This window comes from Homo sapiens, chromosome 8, assembly GCF_000001405.40.
Source record: "Homo sapiens chromosome 8, GRCh38.p14 Primary Assembly".
Classification (NCBI taxonomy): domain Eukaryota; kingdom Metazoa; phylum Chordata; class Mammalia; order Primates; family Hominidae; genus Homo; species Homo sapiens.
Genome location: NC_000008.11, coordinates 141,041,099 through 141,062,553, shown reverse-complemented (window position 1 = coordinate 141,062,553; position 21,455 = coordinate 141,041,099). Strand labels below are relative to the sequence as shown.

General features: G+C 50.2%; 1 long non-coding RNA gene across 1 annotated transcript, besides 2 other annotated features; it reads right to left on the bottom strand.

Moving 5' to 3' along the window:
- Positions 1-60: 60 nt before the first annotated feature.
- LOC105375784 (uncharacterized) lies at positions 61-4,297 on the bottom strand. The gene is made up of 3 exons (XR_002956733.2): positions 4,046-4,297; positions 3,575-3,633; positions 61-2,576 (listed from the first exon to the last, which is right to left on the bottom strand). It is a non-coding gene; the product is annotated as an uncharacterized LOC105375784 (long non-coding RNA).
- Positions 2,157-2,854: an enhancer, noted in NCBI's record as "H3K27ac-H3K4me1 hESC enhancer chr8:142069799-142070496 (GRCh37/hg19 assembly coordinates)". NCBI's record gives its function as "activates a minimal SCP1, AML or CMV promoter by ChIP-STARR-seq in primed H9 embryonic stem cells {active_cell/tissue: H9 hESC(primed)}" and the evidence as "EXISTENCE:reporter gene assay evidence [ECO:0000049][PMID:30033119]".
- Positions 20,315-21,104: an enhancer, noted in NCBI's record as "H3K4me1 hESC enhancer chr8:142051549-142052338 (GRCh37/hg19 assembly coordinates)". NCBI's record gives its function as "activates a minimal SCP1, AML or CMV promoter by ChIP-STARR-seq in naive H9 embryonic stem cells {active_cell/tissue: H9 hESC(naive)}" and the evidence as "EXISTENCE:reporter gene assay evidence [ECO:0000049][PMID:30033119]".

Sequence of the window (21,455 nt, the reverse complement as noted above, 5' to 3'; positions counted from 1 at the left end):
TGATCCCTCCACTTCCCCATCCAACTATCCATTATCACCACCCATCCTTCCATCCTCTCTCCATCCAGTCATCCATCCATCCATCCCACCATCCCCCCACCTACCTTGCCAGCAATCTCATTCCTTCTTTCATCAAAAGCCCTGAGCAGCTACTGTGTGGCGAACCTTGTTCCTAGGGGCTAGTGATATATAGAGATAATTAAGAAGCCTACACTCAACAGCAGGGAAGAGGAAACTCACATACATGAGCCATGGCAGTGCAGTGTGGCGACAGCATGAATGAATAGGCAGATGTCCAGGCTGCAGTGGCCGAGAGGAGGCACCAGCCTCTTTTTGTGGGGACACTGGGAATGTTTCTCAGATGATGGCACATTTGGGCTTCAACTGATGCACGGGTGGGCATGCCCCAGGGAGTGAGGGGACAAGCAGGTGCAAAGGTGTACAGGTGTGACGGTTTCCTAGCTGGGAAGATGTTCTCGGCTGGAAGGTGTGAGTGGCAGCTGCAGAGGGATTGGGCTGGGCAGGTAGGCTAAGGTCAGACTGCATAGGACTATGAACTTGGCCATGAGGGTCTAGTCAGCTCCTGGGAAGCAGCCAGACCCACGGAACTACTGAGACTACACCTTACCCCAGCGGCCCTCCTCCTCCCATCACTGCCCTGCCATGCCTCCCTCTGCCTGTCTGCACTAGCCTCTCACCCAGCCCCTGTCCTGTCCTGGCCTCCACCTCCACTTCTCGACACCCCCAACACCAACCACTTGGAGCCCCTGATAGTCCCCAAAGTCTGCCTCACCTTGTCTTCCCACGTGCTGTCCCACATCCTGGGGCACACGCCTTTGCTCTTGTTCTGAACCAAACTCCTTGACACCCACCGTAAATGACACCTCTGTCCCCTGCCCACCCTCAAGGGCAGTGGGCATTCCCACCCCACCCATCCAACTTGCCTGTATCTTGAACAGACCTCCACTGTCATTTTATCACCAGTGTCTGTCAAAGGGCCTGCGTCTCCTGATGGGTTGGAGACCCTGGAGGCAGGAACAGGGCCTTGTCCACCTCTGCAAACCTGGTGTTTAACTTGGTTCCCAGTATACAGCAGGTGCTCAATAGGTGCATGTTATGTAAAGTGAACAAATGAATGATGGAAAATAACTTTCAGCCTTGTAACCTGGAAGGCCTTATGTTAGCCTTAGCCGATTGTGAAATCTGAGCCCCCGAGGCCGTCAGAGTCCACTTGTGAGTGAGGATCCCTGGGAGGAAAACGACTGGGAACATTAGAGTAAACAGGCAAATTAAAAAACAAAACAAAATATTCTGCATAAAATGGAGCCATCACAGGTCAGGATCACCCTTTGAGCTCCCAAGGTTTGACCCAAGAAAACAATGCTTGGAATTGCGGTCAGGTGGGTTTAAAATCCATTTGCTGTGTATCAGCTGCGTGACCCTGGCAAGCCACTTGGCCTCTCTGAACTCAGTCTCCCCATCCGTCAAGTGGGTCCAAAAAAGAAGCATGAGGCCCTGCTGTGTGGCCCCAGGTATATGCACCAGGCTCACCCTGCCCTGCCCAGCTGGCATGCAGACCGGTGCCAGGGCCCCTTCTCAGCTTCCCTGAAAGTCCACAGGCCTTCCCAGGCCTGCAGTTTAAATGAGGCTCCCTCGGTTTTCTCTCTACGTGGCGCAGAAGGGCACCGTCTATCAAGCACTTCCCTCGTGACAGGCACGGAGCCAACGTTCCCGTTTGATTCTTCTCATCTCCATAAGGGAGGCAATGATGCCATCCACAGGGGACAGGGACACCCGGAGCGGTGAACGTACTGCTGAGGTCGCTCGGTCAGTAACTGGTGGAGACTTAGACACGAGGTGTCTGACTCCAGAGCCCCTGGCGGCCCAGAACCGAGATCTTGGCTGACTTTGGAACCACCGAGAGCTGCACAAACGCCGATGCTTGGGACCCCCAGATTCGATTTCACGGCCCGGGCTGCTGTCTTGACCGGGATTTTCCACACTCCATGGGTGATGGGCAGTGGGAGGGACGCTGCCCTCTGTCGTCTCTGCACACAGACCTCTGGTGGTGGGGGTGAGTCCTGTGCATCGTTCTGTCTGTCTACAAGTTCCACGTCCACTCTGTCCCCTGCTGCCCACCGACTGGGTCAGGGCCCCTTTGTAGGATCCTTGGAACCCTCCACTTTCACTTAAGGCTGGTCCGGCTTCCCCCTGAGGCTGCCCAAGAAGGCCTTAGGATGGGTTGATGGTGTCCCCGCCGTGTCCACTCAGGACCCCAGAATGGGACCTTATTTGGAAATGGAGATTTTGTAGACGTAATGAGTTAAGATGAGGCCATGCTGGATGAGAGTGGGTCCTAATCCAATGGCTGCTGTGCTTCTAAGCAGCAGCAAGGACACAGAAACACGCAGGGAAGGCCACGTGCAGACCGGGGCAGAGACCAGAGGGAGGCAGCCACGAGCCCAGCAGTGCGTGGAGCCACCAGAAGCTGGAAGAGGCAAAGAAGCTTCCCCCAGAGACTTCAGAGCGGGCAGGGCCCTGCCGGCACCTTCATCTCAGATTTCCGGCGTCCAGGGCTGCAAGAGATAAATTCTGTTGTTTTAAGCCGGTTTGTGGCAGTTTCTTAATGACAACCCTGGGAAACAAATATGGGGCTCATCCCCCCATTTCCTGCTCTGGTGGAGTTCTAGAAACAGCAAAAGCCCTGGAGCTTTGGGGGTGCGCTTGTGCAGGGGCGGCTGTGAGGACCTGCCGCCCAGCCCTCCGGCTTCAGGGGCTGCGGGACCCAGCTGCCATCCTGCCTCCCACGGGGGCTCCTGGCTGGAAACTGGGTGCAGTGGGGCCACCGAGGCAGGCCCGGTCCTGAGAGGTGCAGGCCGACTCTGAGGGGCCACTTAGGCTCAAGGACTCCTGATGGCCTTGCCAAACCTTCTGGACTCGGGACCACCCAGGATGCTCCTGCAGCCCCCTCCCTCCCCCTAAAAATGTTTCCGAGGAGCTAACCACTATGGGTCTGGCCCCTTGGGACTCCTCCCAGCCACCGCCCCACCCGTATGGCCATCCCCACAAAACAGATGCCCAAACTGAGGCTCGGAGAGGGGAATCGACTCGCCCAGGGCCACAGAGCTGCCCTCCACCCCCAGCCCGCCCCCACCGTCAGATCAGCAGTTCTCAGAGGCCTGTTGCCATGGTGCTGGAGGGAGGAGCAGATTCCTGAGCTACATCCAAAAATACACACCAGCTCCTTCCTCCCTCCTGACTTCCCTTCTCCCAACCAATGTCAAAGCCTCCTTTTGTGCAGTCTGAGGTCCAGGGCCGCTTCCTCCCAAAACAGCCAAGGAGCAACCAGCTGGGGGAGCCCCGACTTCCTGGGCTAATGGCTCCAGACCCCGCAGGGGCCCCTCACCACCCACCGACGAGAAACCACTGGTGGTTCCCAGAGCAGGCAGGTTTTTTCCTGCCTCTGTGCCTTCCCACATGCAGTTCCTTCAACCAGAATGCCCTTCCTCATCCTTCAGGTCCCAGCTCCAGCTTCGAGTCCACTGGGAAACCTTCCCGGAGGCTCTGCACCTACCTCCAGCACAGCCATTTTCTTGTTGTACCATGGGGTTGTTGGCAGGCCTGATGCTCTCACTGGGATGTGAGGAAGGAAGGGGGAGAAAGAGGGAGCTGATGAGATGTAAGTCCCTGCGGTTATCCTTCCACATTCACACAGATCCCAGGCATGCTGGTCCTTCTCATCGTTGCACCCACATCTCCCGGCACAGATCTCAGCCCTTTGCAGCCTAGCAGGTTCCTGACCAATGACGGGCTCCTCCCTAGGGGTCCCAGCTCACTCAGCTCTGTTCTCCAAGGGTCCAGAGTGGGTGCTTGGGGAATGCGTGGAGTGAATGAATGAACACCAGGCTCTCTCCAGGCTAAGGGGCTTTTCTGAGGCATGCATTCACCCCGACCTCTCCAGGACTCCGCATGGGAAGGCCCACCTCAAAGCCTGCATCACAGGGTGGGCTTGAGGTGGAAGAGGGAACGAAGCAGGAATATTTACCAAGGTCCTGAGCTGCGTGTGCACAGCCTGTTCCTCAGTCAGCCCTCATGACCACCCTGGCAGCAAGGATGAAGAGTAACAAGTAAGAGACTGATGAAGAGACTGCAGGTCAGAGAGGTGAAGTCACTGGCAACAGTCAGACTCTGCTGCTGTGGAGCCGACCTGACTGGTGCTGGCCACCCGGGCATAGAGGAAGGGGCACAGACAGCTCTGAGAGGGACCTGGGGCTGAAGGACACATAAGATCTCAGCCACAGGTCACTGAGAGCTGCCCGTGGTGGCCCCAGCTCAAGTGGGGGGAGAAACCGGTCAGACCTGTCAGGTTCCCAAAACTTTCCACTAAAAACCAGTCTCCCCGGCAGAGGTTACCTCTGAAACAGAAGGGGACTGTGGGCGGGGAGTGAAGAACTGGCAGCTTTTACTTTGCACAATTCCATAACGATTTGAATTTTTACCAAGAGCACAGATTATATATATTTTTTTAATAAAAAGAAAATTAACAGCTGACTACCCGAGCTCTCCACCTTCTCTGGAGCCTTTGGCCCTCGAGGGCAGGTGTGGCAAAGACACAGTGATTCTGTCTTCCACCTGCCCTCAACCAATCTGCACTTCCTACTAGCTAGGCCCCGCACCCAAAGTTGCAGTTTGGTTATTTATTCATTTGCTCATTCACTCCGTCACTACTCTGTGCCAGACCTTGCTCTGGGTACTATACAGGGAGTCAGGCCCCTGCCCTCGAAAAGTTGCCAGTCTAGTAGGGAGTCAGACATGAGAACCACATGGCACAAAACAAAGTGGAAAGCACTGAAAATGAATGTGAGGTAGGAGTGTGGCTGTGGGAGCAATCAGGGAGGGCTGCACAGAGGAGGTGACCTTTGAGTAGTGCCTTGGAATGTGAATAGGAGTTTGCCACAAGGAAAGTTGCTGGGGAGAAGATGTTCTGGACAGCAAGGAGAGTGTGAGCAAAAATGTGGGTGTGACCCAGGCATCAGGAGTTTAGGGCAAATGGAACATGGGGTGTGGGGTCTGGGATTGGGGCAAGGGATCAGGCTGGAGATGAAGATGCAAGCCAAAATCTCAAGGTACCTGAATGACCAACAAAGGACTTGGAGTTTTTCCTTTGGGCCAATGACTTTGAACTTGCTCGCTGAGGCAGGGCTTTTGGTTTTGGGTTCCGATCCAGTAGGCCAGGGTGGGACTGACACCCACACTCTGGAAAAGCTCCCCAGCAGATTCTGATGGCAGGGTGTCCACTGCTGCAGTTGGGACTGTTATAAATGCAAAAGCGGGAAGTGACAGGGTCCAGCTGTAGCCTCGGTGTGAGGACACAGTGCCCCAGTCCTGGAGGGCCGCCGTGGGGCTGAGCTAGGGTGGGACTGGTCTGGGGTAGGGCTGTGGGGCAGAGAGAAGGGGGTGGGCTTGGAAATATGGTAGAAGTGAACATGGCGGGGACCCCCAATGTCTGGTTGGGGACAAGGCAGGGACAGGTGACTGAGGCAAAGGTCCTCGTGCCCAGCACTGAGCCCTTGGCCCTCCCACGGGGCAGCTCAAAGGAGCCACTAATGACCCCAGAAGTATTGCTTCAGAACACCTTTTGCTGGGTGGCTGCAGGATGGAGGTCTCCTCCTGTGGGGAGCAGCTCGCCTCATGAGCTCCCCGGTCCCTGCACATTTCTGGTTAGGAGGGGCCACAGGAGCCGCTCCCGTAGATTTGGAGGGAGGAGGTGAAAGTGGCAGCAGCAGTTTGTCGCTCATACATGTCGCTGCTGATCTGCCTGCCGCCTCCCTGGCGTGAGGCAGTGGCGGGCCACAACTGGCCCACCTTTCCCTTGTCCCATTCTTGTGCCAGGTGTGTTTAGCTGTGTGACAGAGGCCAGGCTCAAGCAGGGCGCCCACACCACCCAGGTCACTGGCAGACACGGGTTTCAGCCTACGCCGCTGGCTCCAGCTCATACCTGTGGTTCCGGCTTGTTCTCCCTCTCGCCCATGTGTCCTCCCTCGTCCCTCCCTGCCTACCTGTCCTGTGGACCCAGAGCTTCAGCGAGACTCAGGATGGCAGCTATCTAGGGACCACAGGCTGCCCCCACCACCGAGCACGTGCCTATTCACAGACACCCATTCCATGGGGTCTGCTTCTTGGTTTGAGTCCTGACCTGTGGCCTCTCCCGCTTCCACAAAGCATAGCTGAAGTCCCTGACCCGGTCGGGGGGCACAGTTGGAGACCTCCTTCCTACCCCAACGCATATGACATGCACACAGTGAGCTGTGGGAAGGTAAACAGAAGCTCGGCTTGGTATTTCCTGGCTCACCAAGTAATGAACATTGCCACTGGTGGAGTCCCTGTTGGGGTCCTCGGAGCACCCCCTAACTGCCCTACCATGAGGTGGTAAACAGCTATATCTTCAGAAGGGTAAACCGAGGCTCACAAAAGTGAGCTGCCTGAGGCCGCAGGGATGAGGGACAGAGCTGGGAGTTAAACCCAGGTCATCGGACTTCAAGACCCTCTGCTTCAGACCACACAGCCAGCTCTCTGGAGCGCCAGTGGGGGGCTCATTCTCCCCAGGCCCCCTACTCATCCACTCCACATACCTTCCTGTGCCTGGCCCTGCTGCACGGGCTGCGGGGGGATAATGCAAAAGTGCTGGGTCATGCCTGGCCCTGCTGCACGGCGGGGTGGGGGGGATGCAAAAGTGCTGAGTCGTGTTTTGGGGTGTCTGTCTCCAAAGGCAGCAACGAAGGTGTACCCCGAGCTCCTCGGCTCCAACCCCTGCCTACGTCTTTCCTTCCCTCTGTGCGGCCTGGGCGGGAACAGCAAGTCTGGGCATGAGGCAGCCCCAGGTTCACATCTAGGCCACCCCACTGACGGGTGGGGTCTCGGGCAGATGCGTACTTCTCGGCCTCAGTTGAGGAGAGGACCACCCCCCTCAAGAGATCGGTGAAGATCCTGAGTGTGGGGCTCTGGGCGCAGGGCGGGGCACAGAACTGGGGCCTGAGAGAAGCCCACTCCCTTCCCGCAGTCCAGGCACCCTCTGCCTCAACCTACTGGAGCCAGCTTACCGGGGGTTTGCCACACCTGCCGGCCTTGTCTGCTGCCAATTAGGAAGCAAGGTAATTACACGGTGATTGCAGACGTGTGCTTCCACTTCTTAATGAGCTGTGAGTGCTCAGGCAGAAAGGGCAGCAAGGGCTCCATTCTCTGAGACTCGAGGGCTGGGCAAGCTGCAGGGCCCTGAGGGCCAAGCTGGAGCAGCAGCTTTCAAGCTTTCTAATCCCATTGGTGGCTGAATACATTCTACAAACAATGCCTTATATGGACACCCAGCATCAAAATAGGTGAAACCTGGGCTACCTTGGTGGAAGGGGAGTGTGGAAGGGGGGCTGGCAGAAGAGTCCAGAGTCCCATTTGCCCCAAGAAATGGGGTCTGGGGTGGTCTTGGCAGGGCACTCAGGGTAATCAGAACAGAGGGGGACCTCGAGGGAGAGCGGCCCAGCAGCCACTCTTCACCAATTGGCATTGGCATGGAAGGATTTCATTATCTTTTTTTTTTTTTTTTTGAGACGGAGTCTCACTCTGTCACCAGGGCTGGAGTGCAGTGGTGCAATCTCAGCTCACTGAAACCTCCGCCTCCCGGGTTCAAGCGATTCTCCTGCCTCAGCCTCCCGAGTAGCTGGGATTACAGGCACCCGCCACTATACCCAGCTAAATTTTTTTTTTTTTTGTATTTTTAGTAGAGACAGAGTTTCACCATGTTGGCCGGTCTGGTCTCGAACTCCTGACCTCGTAATTAGCCCGCCTCGGCCTCCCAAAATGCTGGGATTACAGATGTGAGCCATCGCACCTGGCCAGGATTTCATTATCTTAAGAACTGTATGTTCACACCAGTGTGGCAGGGCCAGTTAACTCAGCTTTCACAGCAAGAAGTCAGTCTATACAAATCAAAGTAGAAATGAATCCTTGAAAAAAGTCATAATGACTTCAACCTGTTAATGTTTTCACAGTTTCTTTTCTTAAACTTAGAGGAATGTTTTTGGGACACTATGTCTCATATAGAAGAAATATTTATGTGAATCCAATAACTCCATTGACTTCCCTTTTACTTCCTTCTGTTAAATTCAAGTAAAATTAAATTTAAAAGAGTATCCAAAATCTGGCTAGGCACAGTGGCTCGGGCCTGTAATCCCAGCACTTTGGGAGGCAGGGATGGGTGAATCACCTGAGGTCAGGATTTCGAGGCCATCCTGGCCAACATGGTAAAACCCTGTCTCTACTGAAAATACAAAAACTAGCCGGGTGTGGTGGTGTGCACCTGTAGTCCCAGCTACTCGGGAGGCTAAGGCAGGATAATCACTTGAACCTGGGAAGTGGAGGGTGCAGTGAGCCAAGATCACACCACTGCACTCCAGCCTGGGCAACAGAGCGAGGCTCTGTCTCAAAAAAAAAAAAAAAATAGTATCCAAAATCTGATCCTTCTGGTTTTGTAAAAGTATTTCTGCCCATCTGTTCCTTCATCCATCCTGTTTGTGTATTTGCAGATAGAGGTGTCCAAAATAATGTTCACCAAATATTAATGGTTATCTCTGGCTGGTGGGATTTGGGTTTTTTTTTAACTTCTAACTTTGGGATTTTCAGCATGTTTTGATTTCAGTATATGTAATGAATAGGTATCACTTTTATTCTTGAAAATTTTAATTTTTATGGACTATTTTTGGCTTGAGTTAAAAAATTATGGCCAGGAGCAGTGGCTCACATCTGTAATCCCAGCACTTTGGGAGGCCGAGGTGGGCGGATCACGAGGTCAGGAGATCGAGACCATCGTGGCTAACACCGTGAAACCCCGTCTCTACTAAAAATACAAAAAAAAAAAAAATTAGCCGGATGTGGCAGCAGGTGCCTGGAGTCCCAGCTACCCAGGAGGCTGAGGCAGGAGAATGGCGTGAACCCGGGAGGCGGAGCTTGCAGTGAGCCAAGATCATACCACTGCACTCCAGCCTGGGTGACAGAGTGAGACTCCATCTCAAAATAATAATAATAATAACAATAATTATAATGATTTTTTAAAACAACAAATTCTGATAATTTTTCTTATGGAGCACTACTGGAAGAAAACATATTAAGACTGTTGACCAGAATTGATTCTGGAAGTATTGAAATGATGGATGTTTGCTATTTCTTACTTTTACTTTTTTTTTTTGGTCTTTTTAACATTTCTAAAAGCAAGAAAAAACAATTTTACTTTTAAAATAAGGGGAAAAATAAATCATGGAGATTGTGAAACAAAACCAGCTGACATAACAGCTTGGCGATGAATTATTCATTCAACAAATATTTATTAAACAACTTGATGTCAGGTTCCAATGTTCACTGTCATTTTATGGCTTTAGGTTTTTGGTTACTACACTCTAAAGCTTTATTTTCTCTTTTCTTGTATATTTTCCCTGCAATTATCATATGTTGCCATTAGATGACAGTAAGCATATCAGTACATATTCTGGGACATGCATGCTTTGGCTGATGTCTCCGCTAAGACTTTCAGTGAAGCCACCTGTTACAGATTTATGAGTTCTCATTGATAACACATGCTTTTGTTGTTATACCATCTAACAATGTTTTCTTTTTAACTTGGGAACATTATAATTCATAACATAATCATGGCTGCTCAACTCTTGTCTTCCTCAAATAAATGCTTCAGACACAAGTCAAACCCATGATACAACAAACAAATGCAATGCGTCTGCACAGAGGCAGAATGGCCAAAGACAAAACACCTCGGCTTTGGAAGTGGATAGATCTCAGTTCAAATCCTGACTCTATCACTCACTTCCTTCATCATCTGAATCAAACTTCTTCACCTCTTTTGGCCTCAGTATCATTTATCTGCTGGGGACTTAATGGTGCGCACACTGCAGGATTGTTTTAAGATTGTCGTGAAATGGTATAGGTAAATAAATCAGGAAATAGCAGTTCTTATTATTCCTGTTGCCATTTTCACCTAGAAAATGCCTAGACATTCTTGAAGACCCATGTCTTAGTCCACTGGGGCTGCTGTAACAAAAATACCATAGACTGGATGGCTTAAACAACAATGATTTATTTCTCTCAGTTCTGGAGGCTGGGAAGTCCAAGATCAAGGTGCCAGTGGATCCAGTGTCTGGTGAGAGCTTACTTCCTAGTGCAAAGGTGGCAGAAGCCAGGATCATCTCTCCTGTGTCTCTTCTTATAAGGACACTAATCCCATTCAGGAAAGCTCTTCTCTCTTCTAAAGGCCCCACCTTCTAAAATCATCACATTGGGATTAGGATTTCAACATAGGAATTTTGGGGGTCCACACATTCAGTCCATAGCAAGCCAGCTCAAATAGCTCCTCCTCAGTGAAGCCTCCATTCACGTTCCTAGCAAAAGTTAGTTGCTGACTCCTCTGTCCTGTATTACACTCCTTAACCTATTAGGCTGTCAGTGTTTGCTTTATATCTTTTGAGGCTGTGTTATCAGGTGAATGCAGATTTGGGGTTTTATATCTTACTGTTAGAATGACCATTTTTTTCTTTTGAAATATCTCTTTATCTCCTAAGGTCAATTTTGTCTGATAATAGTTTACACCAGTTGCCTCCTTTCTTTCTTCTTTCTCTGTGTGTGTGTGTGCACATGCATATATGCACATATGTATGTGTGCGTGTATGTTTGCATGCATAGTATATTTTATTCATCCTTTTACTTTCAATTTTTCTGTATCCTTATACTTCAGATGCATCTCTTGAAAATAGCAAATAGTTGGGGTGGTGGTGTTTTCTTTTAAACCGGCCTGGCAGGCCAGGCACGGTGGCTCACACCGGTAATCCCAGCACTCTGGGAGGCCAAGGCATGTGGATCACATGAGGTCAGGAGTTCGAGAAAAACCTGGCCAACATGGCAAAACCCTGTCTCTACTAAAAATAAAAGAAAATAGCTGGGCGTGGTGGCATGCACCTGTAATTCCAGCTACTTGGGAGGCTGAGGCAGGAGAATCGCTTGAACCTGGGAGGCAGAGGTTGCAGTGAGCCCAGATAGCACCACTGTACTCAAGCCTGGGTGACAGATTGAGACTCCATCTCAAAAAAAGTGAAAAAGCCCGGAAATCTTTGTCTTTTTACTGGTTCATTTACATTTAATGCAATTACTGATATTTTTGGGTTTAAATTTACCATATGGCTATTTGTTTTCTATTTGTCTTGCAGAGTCTCGCTCTGTCGCCCAGGCTGGAATGCAGTGGTGCGATCTCAGCTTACTGCAATCTCCACCTTCCGGGTTCAATCGATTTTCCTGCCTCAGCCTCCCAAGTAGCTGGGACCACAGGTGCATGCCAGCACGCCCGGCTAATTTTTTGTATTTTTAGTAGAGACGGGTTCATCATATTAGCAAGGATGGTCTCGATCTTCTGACCTTGTGATCTGCCTGCCTCGGCCTCCCAAAGTGGTGGGATTACAGGCGTGAGCCACCGGGCCTGTCCTCTACATTCCTTTATCCCCCTTTCTTGCCCTTTTACTTGGTTATTTAAACATCTTTTGTTATTCTATTTCTCCCTTTATCAGATTAGTTATGCATCCTATTATTTATCTTTTGATGGTTATTCTAGGAGTTACAACATGCACCTTGAGTTTTAAGACATTACCATAACTTTTTAAAATCATTTATCACTTCCCAGATAATATGAGAATGTTGAAATTTAACTCCATGCACCCCTTTCCTAACTTTTGTACTGTTATTAATTCTTTTTATTCTATGTATGTTTTAAATCCCGTAAGATGTTACTGTCATTGTTAGAAACAGTTAATATTCACTTAGTTTTATCTATATATTTACTTTTTTGGACACTATTTCTTTTAGCATTATTACTTTCATCTGGGATAATTTTCCTTCTGCCTTCTTTAGTGTTTCTTCTAATGTGGACCTGCTGGTGACAAATCCTGACAGCTTTGGTTTATCTAAAAATATCCTTATTTCTTGTTCATTTTCAACTGCATTTTAGCTTAGTTTGAATTCTAGATTTGCAGTCGTTTTCTTTTTAAGAGATGGGGTCTCACTCTGTCTCCCAGGTGGGAGTGCAGTGGCATGATCATAGCTTACAGCAGCCTCAAACTCCTGGGCTCAATCCATCTCCCAGCCTCAGCCTCCCAAGTAGCTGGGACTGCAGTTATGTACCACCACACCCATCCTCCCATCCCTTTTTTTTTTTTTTTTGGAGCGAGATGGGGTCTTGCTATATTGTCCAGGCTATGGCAGTGGCTTTCTTTCAGCACTTTGAAGATACCCTACCATTATTTTCCATCTCCATGATCTCTTCTGAGAAGTCAGCTCTTGGTTCTATTATTGCTTTGTTTAAAATCTTCTTTGCTAGCTGTTTTGAAGACTTTCTCTTTGACTTCATTTTTCACTAGTTTGGCAATGACATGCTTCACTGTGACCTTTTTTTTTTTTTTTTTTTTTGAGATGGAGTCTCGCTCTGTCACCCAGGCTGGAGTGCAGTGGTGCGATCTCGGCTCACTGCAAGCTCCACCTCCCGGGTTCACACCATTCTCCTGCCTCAGCCTCCCAAGTAGCTAGGACTACAGGCGTCCGCCATCACACCCGGCTAATTTTTTGTATTTTTAGTGGAGACGGGATTTCACCGTGTTAGCCATGTTGGTCTCAATCTCCCAACCTCATGATCCGCCCACCTCGGCCTCCCAAATTGCTGGGATTACAGGCGTGAGCCACCCACTGTGACCTTCTTTTTATCCACCTTGTTTGAAATTAAGAGTTTCTTTCATTTGTGGCTTGATGTCTTGTTAATTTGGAAATGCTCAGCCTCAGACATTATTTCTTTCTTTCTTTCTTTTAGAGACAGAGTCTCACTCTGTTGCTCAGTCCGGAGTACAGTGGCACCCTCATAGCTCACTGCAGCCTGGAACTCCTGGACTCAAGTGATCTTCTGACTACGGCCTCCAAAGTAGCTGGGACTATGGGACTACAGGCACAGGCCACTGCACCTAGCTAATTAAAAAAAAAAAATTAATAGAGGCAGCTCTCTTAAAAGAGAGCCTTGTTGTCCAGGCTTGTCTTGAACTCCTGGCTTCAAGCAATCCTCCTGCCTCAGCCTCCCAAAATCCTGGGATTATAGGCATGAGCCACCATGGCCAGCCACAGCCATTATTTCTTCAAATATTGGTTCTGGCTTACTCTCTCCTTTTCTTCTGGGACTGTAATTAACATATGTTAAACTTTTTCACAATGCTTCATATTTCCCTGATGTTTTTGTCTATATTTTTCATCCTATTTATTCTTCCCATGCTTCAGTGTGAACATTTCTGCTCACCTAGATTCTACTTCATTAATCCTCTTTTCTACTGTGCCTAATCTGTTGTTAAATCCGTATATTGAGCTATTGGTTTTAGTTGTTATATTTTTTAGTTCTACAACTTCTATTTGGTTCGTTTTTTTTTTTTTTTTTTTGAGACAGAGTCTCACTCTTGTCGCCCAGGCTAGAGTACAGTGGCGTGATCTCGGCTCACTGCAACCTCTGCCTCCCGGGTTCAAGTGATTCTTCTGCCTCAGCCTCCTGAGTAGCTGGGATTACAGGTGCCTGCCACCACACCCGGTTAATTTTTGTACTTTTAGTAGAGATGGGGTTTCTCCAAGTTGGCCAGGCTGGTCTCGAACTCCTGACCTCAGGTGATCCGCCTGCCTCGGCCTCCCAAAGTGCTGGGATTACAGGCATGAGCCACCGTGTCCGGCCTACTTGGTTCTTTTTATAAGTTCCAGTTTTTGAAAACTCTCCATCTTGATATCTATATGTTAAACATTAATCACAGTATTTTCAAATCCAATATTGTGGGTTATTTTTCATTATCTGGGTTTGGTTTGGTTTTTTCCTCTTGCTTTTCTTTCATTGGCTCTGTTTGATGATATGCCTGGTAATTTTCTTTCTTTCTTTCTTTCTTTCTTTTTTTGAGACGGAGTCTCGCTCTCTCGCCCACACTGGAGTGCAGTGGCGTGATCTCGGCTCACTGCAACCTCCACCTCCAGGGTTCAAGCAATTCTCTGCCTCAGCCTCCCGAGTAGCTGTGATTATAGGTGCCTGCCATCGTGCCTGGCTAATTTTTGTATTTTTAGTACAGACAGGGTTTCACCATCTTGGCCAGGCTGGTCTTAAACTCCTGGTCTCGTGATCCACCCACCTCGGCCTCCAAAAGTGCTGGGATTACAGGCGTGAGCTACCGTCCCCGGCCTATGCCTGGTAATTTTCTATTGAACATCAGATTCTGTCTTTAAAAAAATCACAGAAGCTCTGGAGGATTTTATCTTCCCACAGAAATGGTTTAATTTTCTTCTTGCTGGCAGTTAGAGTTAGGAGAGATTACTTGGTGTAAACTAGGAAATGAGAGAAACTGAGGCTGAATTTCAGACTTTGTGAGGATTGACCTTAATCCTAGGGCATAGTTTATGTTTATTTTGAGGTTGGACACATATACCTCATGATTTGGAGGCACAATGTATGTTCACCGTGATGATAAGAGAACCAAGCATGTGTGATAAGAACACAGATCACAAGATTAAATCTGGCAGGGGAATCCAGGAAGGCTTACTGGAGGAGGTACCCATAAACTGGCCTTTGTGCCAGTTAGGATTTTAGTCTGCTACATGTATCAGCAACGCATCCTAGTGGCTTAACCATTAAGGATTCATCTTTCTTGTGAAACAAGAAGCCTGGGCTGGAGCAGCCATTTGAGATGCAGTGTTTACAGGAGTCTCCAAAGAAAACCAGGGCTGTTTACAGGCCGATTTTCCTTCAATAGCTCTGAACTTCCATTTTTTTCCCATGGCATCTTGAGACTACTGAAACTTCAGCTTATTCTCTCAGCAACCACTTTTTTGGGGGGTTTTTTGGCCTCTTCCCTGTGAGCACCTCAGGATTCAGCAAACATCATGAGGGCAATAGCTGCATAGGATGCCAGGCTCTCTCCTCCTTTTGAGACGGAGTCTCGCTCTGTCACCCAGGCTGGAGTGCAGTGGCATGATCTCGGCTCACTGCAACCTCCGCCTCTCAGGTTCAAGCAATTCCCTGCCTCAGCCTCCCGAGTAGCTGGGACTACAGGCACCCGCCACCACACCCAGCTAATTTTTGTAGTTTTAGTAGAGACGGGGTTTCACTATGTTGGCCAGGCTGGTCTCGAACTCCCGACCTCAGGTGATCCAACCGCCTCGGCCTCCCGAAGTGCTGGGATTACAGGTGTGAGCCACTGCACCCGGCCTGCTCTCTCCTCTTTAGTCTCCTTTTCTCAGAGTTCTTCAACCCCAGGAGCCTTGGGAGCCATGAACTCCAGTGGTTGTCTCTCCAGCTCTAGGAAGCTGCAGAAGCTGCGATGCTCCACATTGGAACACACCCTGAGGTGGAAAGCGATGGAGGTCTGTCTGACTTTATCATGTTCCCCTTTCTAGGGTCTTGACCCCCCCAATTGCAATTTACGCTACAAAGCTCTCCGATCAATTTTTCTTTCTTTCTTTCTTTCTTTCTTTTTTGAGATGGAGTCTCGCCTTGTTGCCCAGGCTGAAGTGCAGAGGTACAATCTCAGCTCACTGCAACCTCCGCTTCCCTAGTTCAAGTGATTCTCCTGCCTCAGTCTCTTGAGTAGCTGGGATTACAGGCGTCTGCCACTACGCCTGGCTAATTTTTTGTATTTTTAGTAGAGACGGGGTTTCGCCATGTTGGCCAGGCTGGTCTTGAACGCCTGACCTCAGGTGATCCACCCACCTCGGCCTCCCCAAGTGCTGGGATTACAAGCGTGAGCCACCATGCCCGGCCACCAATCGATTTCATTTTGCAATGTTTCCAGGCTTCATAATTGTCTTCTGCATGAGAGTTGGCTTGCTATGAGCTACTCCAGCATAGCTGGCAGCAGAAATTACGACACAATGTTGTAAATGCCTGTGCACCCGACTGGACGTCAGTGCCTCAAGGACAGGGACTGAGTTCCCTTCCCTTGGTATGGACATTGCTGCCACCAGGAAGGCTCTTCTCATCTCAAGTCTGGGTTAGGCACCCTGGTCTGCACCTGCAGCTCCACACGGTGTCCCTCACTGTAACACGCCTTCCACTAACTGCCATTGCTCTTCTACCAGTAAGCCTCCCTTCTGAACACGGGCAACCTGAGGGCAGGCAGGAGCTGTGAGCAAATGCATGCTGAACAAAGGCCGACTCGGGGCTTTACTCAGCACCAACTCCCCCAGTTCCTGAAGACCACAGGCTACTGAGAGCAAAAAGAAGCAAGCATCAGGGCAGAGAGGGCATTGAGTAACGAGGGAACCATACCAGCCTTTTAGATCCTTATGAATGACTCTCGGAAACGTCTCAGGACATCCTGGCCGGCACCCACTGGCTGCTCCAGCTTTGACAAAGCTACTCAGGAATGCCCAGGCTTAAGGGGCTCACTAACCTCACATGCAAGAGGGAGAGCTGGCAAGCTTGTACCTGTGTGTCCAGCCTCCACGTAGGCCTGCACAGACACAGGCAGGGAGCGCCTTTAGAGGACACCGTGGATGTGCCACCTGGGGACAATGGGGCCTTCTGCATCTGCAATACCATGGTAATAGGTAACATGTACTCGGCACTTTGTCACTCATTCTGCTCAAGTAATCTCATTGGCATCTCCTGGGTGTTGGCAAAATGATTCTCTCTGAGTTACACATAGGAGAATGAGGCCCAGAGAGTGTCATGACTGGCCACATATAAATTGGTAGAGCTGGGTTGGACCTAGGCAGCCTGACTCCAAGCCCGTAGGCATGGCCACCAGGTTTTGCCACCTCCTAGTGCGCCTGCAGAAAAGGTTCTGAAGTCCTCCTATCTGGGGCTGCATTTCTGAAAATGTCAGCTCTTGGTTTGTGGCTCTGAGCCACCCCTGCTAACAGCCCCCTCACTGATCTCTTTGCTGCCAGCTCCCCGCCCCTCAATTTCCGCCACACTGCCGCTGGAATCTCACCAAGCCACTCCTCGGTGTGGTCAGGGGCTCTCAACATGGAATCAGCCTGAGCTGCTTCTTCTTTTTCTTTGAGACAAGATCTCACTCTGTTGCCCAAGCTGGAATACAGTGGCGCGATCTCAGCTCACTACAACCTCCGCCTCCTAGGCTCAAGCGATCCTCCTGCCTCAGCCTCCTCAGTATCTGGGACCACAGGCACAGGCTACTATGCCAGGCTATTTTTCTTTTTTTGTATTTTGGTAGAGATGAGGTTTCATTATGGTGCCCAGGCTGGTCTCAAACTCCTGAACTCAAGCAATCTACCCACCTTGGCTTCCCAAAGTTCTGGGATTACAATCTGAGTTTTCTCTGTTGTTGTTGTTATTGTTTTTTGAGACAGAGTTTTGCTCTTGTTGCCCAGGCTGGAGTGCAGTGGCACGATCTTGGCTCACCATAACCTCCGCCTCCCGAGTTCAGGTGATTCTCCTGCTTCAGTCTCGTGAGTACCTGGGATTACAGGCATGCACCACCACGCCCAGCTAATTTTGTATTTTTAGTAGAGACGGGGTTTCTCCATGTTGGTCAGGCTGGTCACGAACTCCTGACCTCAGGTAATCCACCTGCCTCGGCCTCCCAAAGTGCCGGGATTACAGGCGTGAGCCACTGTGCCCGGCCACAACCCGAGCTTCTTAAGGCCTTCACGATCAAGCTCATTATTTATCCCCCATTATAATCACCACCTCCTCATGGCAACACACACATGCATGCCTGCACACCCTCATACACCTATGTGTATGCACACATAGACACGTGTGTGCATACGTGACTACGTGTTGTGTGTGCACATGTATAGGTGCAGGTGGGCACATGGGCACACACAACCATACACAGAAATGTTACATCCCTCTGACCAGAGTGAACCACCTCCTGTTTCCATGGAGCCTGCACTTCCCCACCCACTGCCTCGCTGTGGGCTCTCCCCGCACCTGTTGCCTGCTGGGTTCCTACCCAGCTAAAAAGATGAGGCAGACACTGCCCAGTGCCCTCCCAATATCCTTACTAAGCTCTGACTTTGTTCTGCCATGCTCAGGTCAAAAATCTCTTTTGCCGTAAGGAGTGGCCTTGGGGCCTAGCTCAAAAGCCCACCAACTCAGCCAGTGTGAGCCTGGCTGACTTTTTGCTTTTCAACCCTTACCCTTTCCTCCTTCCCTCCTGGGCTGTAAGCCCAAAGCCTAGAAATAGAGCTGCCATGTCGCAGCATGAGGACAAGCACCACGCTCTACAGAGGGTAGAGTGGGAAGCTGGAAGGAGCCGCATCCTTCACAGCCTTCTCGAGTGGCTGCTGCGGCCCTGGACTGCCTCCCTCCAGGCTTCTTGCTTTGTGAGAACAGTAAGTCTCTAATGGGCAAGCCGCTATGGATAGTTGCTGGCATATGTAGCTGGCTGAAATCCTAATTGGCAGAAAGACCAGTTCACAGGACACCTCCCCCAGTAAGCCTTCCTGGATTCCCCTGCCAGATTTATCTGGTGCTCTGTATTCTTATCACACATGGTGAATTATGTCATCATCGCAGTTAATGTACATTGTGACTCCAGATCATTAGATTCACCTGTCCTTCACTCACAATCAAATGTAAATTTCCTAGGACAGGTCCATCTCACTTGCCCAGCTATCCCACATACGTCTTAGCCTAGTGCCTGCCAAGATGTCTCTGTACAATGTTGAAGACAGAACAGAGGCATCACTCATGGAGCCCGGGTTCACGTCCTGGCCACCATGACCCAGCTCTGTGATGCTGAGTTACCTGTGTAAGCTGCTGTTTCTCCATCTATAAAACTACAACCATTCATCTCCTAGGTATTGCAATGTTCAAATGAGTTCATCCATATGAATAAGATTTGGAGACAGAAAAGCTGCACTGTACAAAATGGAAATTATCATCAACGTCACTGTCTGGTAAGGGCTGCTGAATCAGAGCCTTGTCATTCACTTAGGACCACAAATAGCAACACACACACACACACGATACACACACACAAACCACACACACAGGCATGGACAAATCTCTTAAGCCAAAGCAACTTGAACTTCCCTTGGAGGCCACCCAAACCAACCTTAACCACAAGATAGTTCAAGCTTGATGACATGGTGCTGATTTGAGAACTAGTTGGACTTCTATATGTTGTTTTCTTTGGACCACATGTGGTGTCATCACTGTATATTTTAGCATGTGGAGTCCCTGCTCCCTCACACTGAGACACAGGGGAGGCCTTTATATGGCTTCACAAGTGAGAGAGCTGGACATAAAAAAAATCTTTCCAGCCAGGCATGGTGGCTCACCCCTGTAATCCCAGCACTTTGGGAGGCTGAGGCGGGTGGATCACGAGGTCAAGAGTTGGAGACCAGCTTGGCCAACATGGTGAAACCCAGTCTCTACTAAAAATACAAAAATTAGCGGGCATGGTGGTGTGCGCCTGTAATCCCAGCTACCGGGAGGCTGAGGCAAGAGAATTGCTTGAACCTGGGAGGAGGAGGTTGCAGTGAGCTGAGATTGAGCCACTGCACTCCAGCCTGGGAGACAGAGCAAGACGCAGTCTCAGAACAAAACAAAAAACAAAAGAAAACAAAAACCCTTCCAACCAAGGCTGTCTAACTTGAGGTTTGGAGAGACACCCTGGCCCCTCCCAGTGCCTGCAGCAAGCAGAAAGCCCCTACTCCAGGCCTGCAACCGGGCCTGGCAGGGGCAAGAAAACCCAGCCTGGCTCAGGGCTGGCTCGAGGTAGGCAACCAGGGGGCTGAACCCAGGGTCAGAGGGTCCCAGGCCTCTCTCCCTCATGGTTCAGAAACAGTACCCAGGTTGCTCGTTCATTCAACAGACATTGCATGAGCACCAACTGGGTGTCAGGCCCTGGGCTCAGCTCAGGGAGTACAGGCTAGGGAAGGAATAGAAAAGAGACAAACATCTTCTGGGCACCCTCCTTGGGCCGTGCACTGTATTGGATAATTTCAAGAATTTCAGGCCGGGCGCGGTGGCTCACGCCTGTAATCCCAGCACTTTGGGAGGCCGAGGCGAGCAGATCACAAAGTCAGGAGATTGAGACCATCCTGGCTAACACAATGAAACCCTGTCTCTACTAAAAATACAAAAAATTAGCCCGGCGTGGTGGTGGGCGACTGTAGTCCCAGCTACTTGGGAGGCTGAGGCAGGAGAATGGCGTGAGCCCGGGAAGCAGAGCTTGCAGTGAGCCAAGATCACGCCACTGCAATCCAGCCTGGGTGACAGAGAGAGACTCCGTCTCAAAAACACAAGAACAAAAAAAAGAATTTCATTCAATTCCTGCACTGTAATCCCAGCTACTCGGGAGGCTACCCTTTGAGGCATTTGCTTATTTTAAATAGGTGTGAACAACTTTACCGGCTTAAGATACAAATAACATCGATTTTAAATATTAAAATTACTCTTACTGGAGCCTCCCAGATCAGCAGGAAGGCCACCCTATCTCTCTCTGTCTTTCTCTTTCTCTGTTTCTCTCTCTCTTCCCTTCCTTCCTGCCTTCCTCTCTCTCTCACTTTCCCTCCTTCTTGCCTCCTGTTTAGAGAGAGGAGAAGCTCAGAGCGGCCTTTTTGTGGGCCTGGGTTTCGCCTGCCAATGCTCTGCCACACACCTACCATATGGTCGGGTGCCACCCTTGCTCAGAGGTGTGATCCTGCACATCTGGCCCGGCAGCAGCTTCTTGTGAATGCGGTTGGGGGTTGGGCAAAGAAGGTCATCCCCAGGGCCACAGCCATACCACAGGGCTGGGCTCGCTCCCTTTAACAATGAGGGTTAGCCTGAGGCCCTGCACAGACCACAGTTACTCTTCAGGGCATGTAACTCAGCACCATACACCTTGCCAGGGTGAGTAGGAGTCAGGCCCCACCTCTCTCCACATCCACTTTGTTCCTCTCATGCCCTGACATGCTCATTAGCAGGAAATCCAACATCTCCATCTTAGGGCCTCTGCCCTCCTTGACTGTCGCAGAACAAACAACAGGTGCTGTGTTCTAGGGGCCAGTTCCCATTTGGGTCTGAATTTCCCAACAGCAAATGCACGGAGAGACAGCTGGGGTGTTCCTATTACTCCCAATAAAAAAGAGAAAATGGGACTAAGAGGGACGAAGCGACCAGATAAGCCACACGGCTGGGAAGCAGCAAGACCAAGAGGCAAGCCTGGGTCTGCCAGACTCCAAGTGGGGACTCTCTCCTACTTCACTGCTGTCCCAGTGTGGGGTCCCACCTATCAGAGCTGAGACAAGAGACAACTACTACTTTGTCTTGGAGATGACACTAGTACTGTCAGGACAGTGGGAAGGTGTGACAGGGACAGGGGTGAGAGAAGTAAAGGGTGCCCTAATGTGCAGGTGATCTCTGTGGACAACAGGGGACAACCAGGGCTCAAACC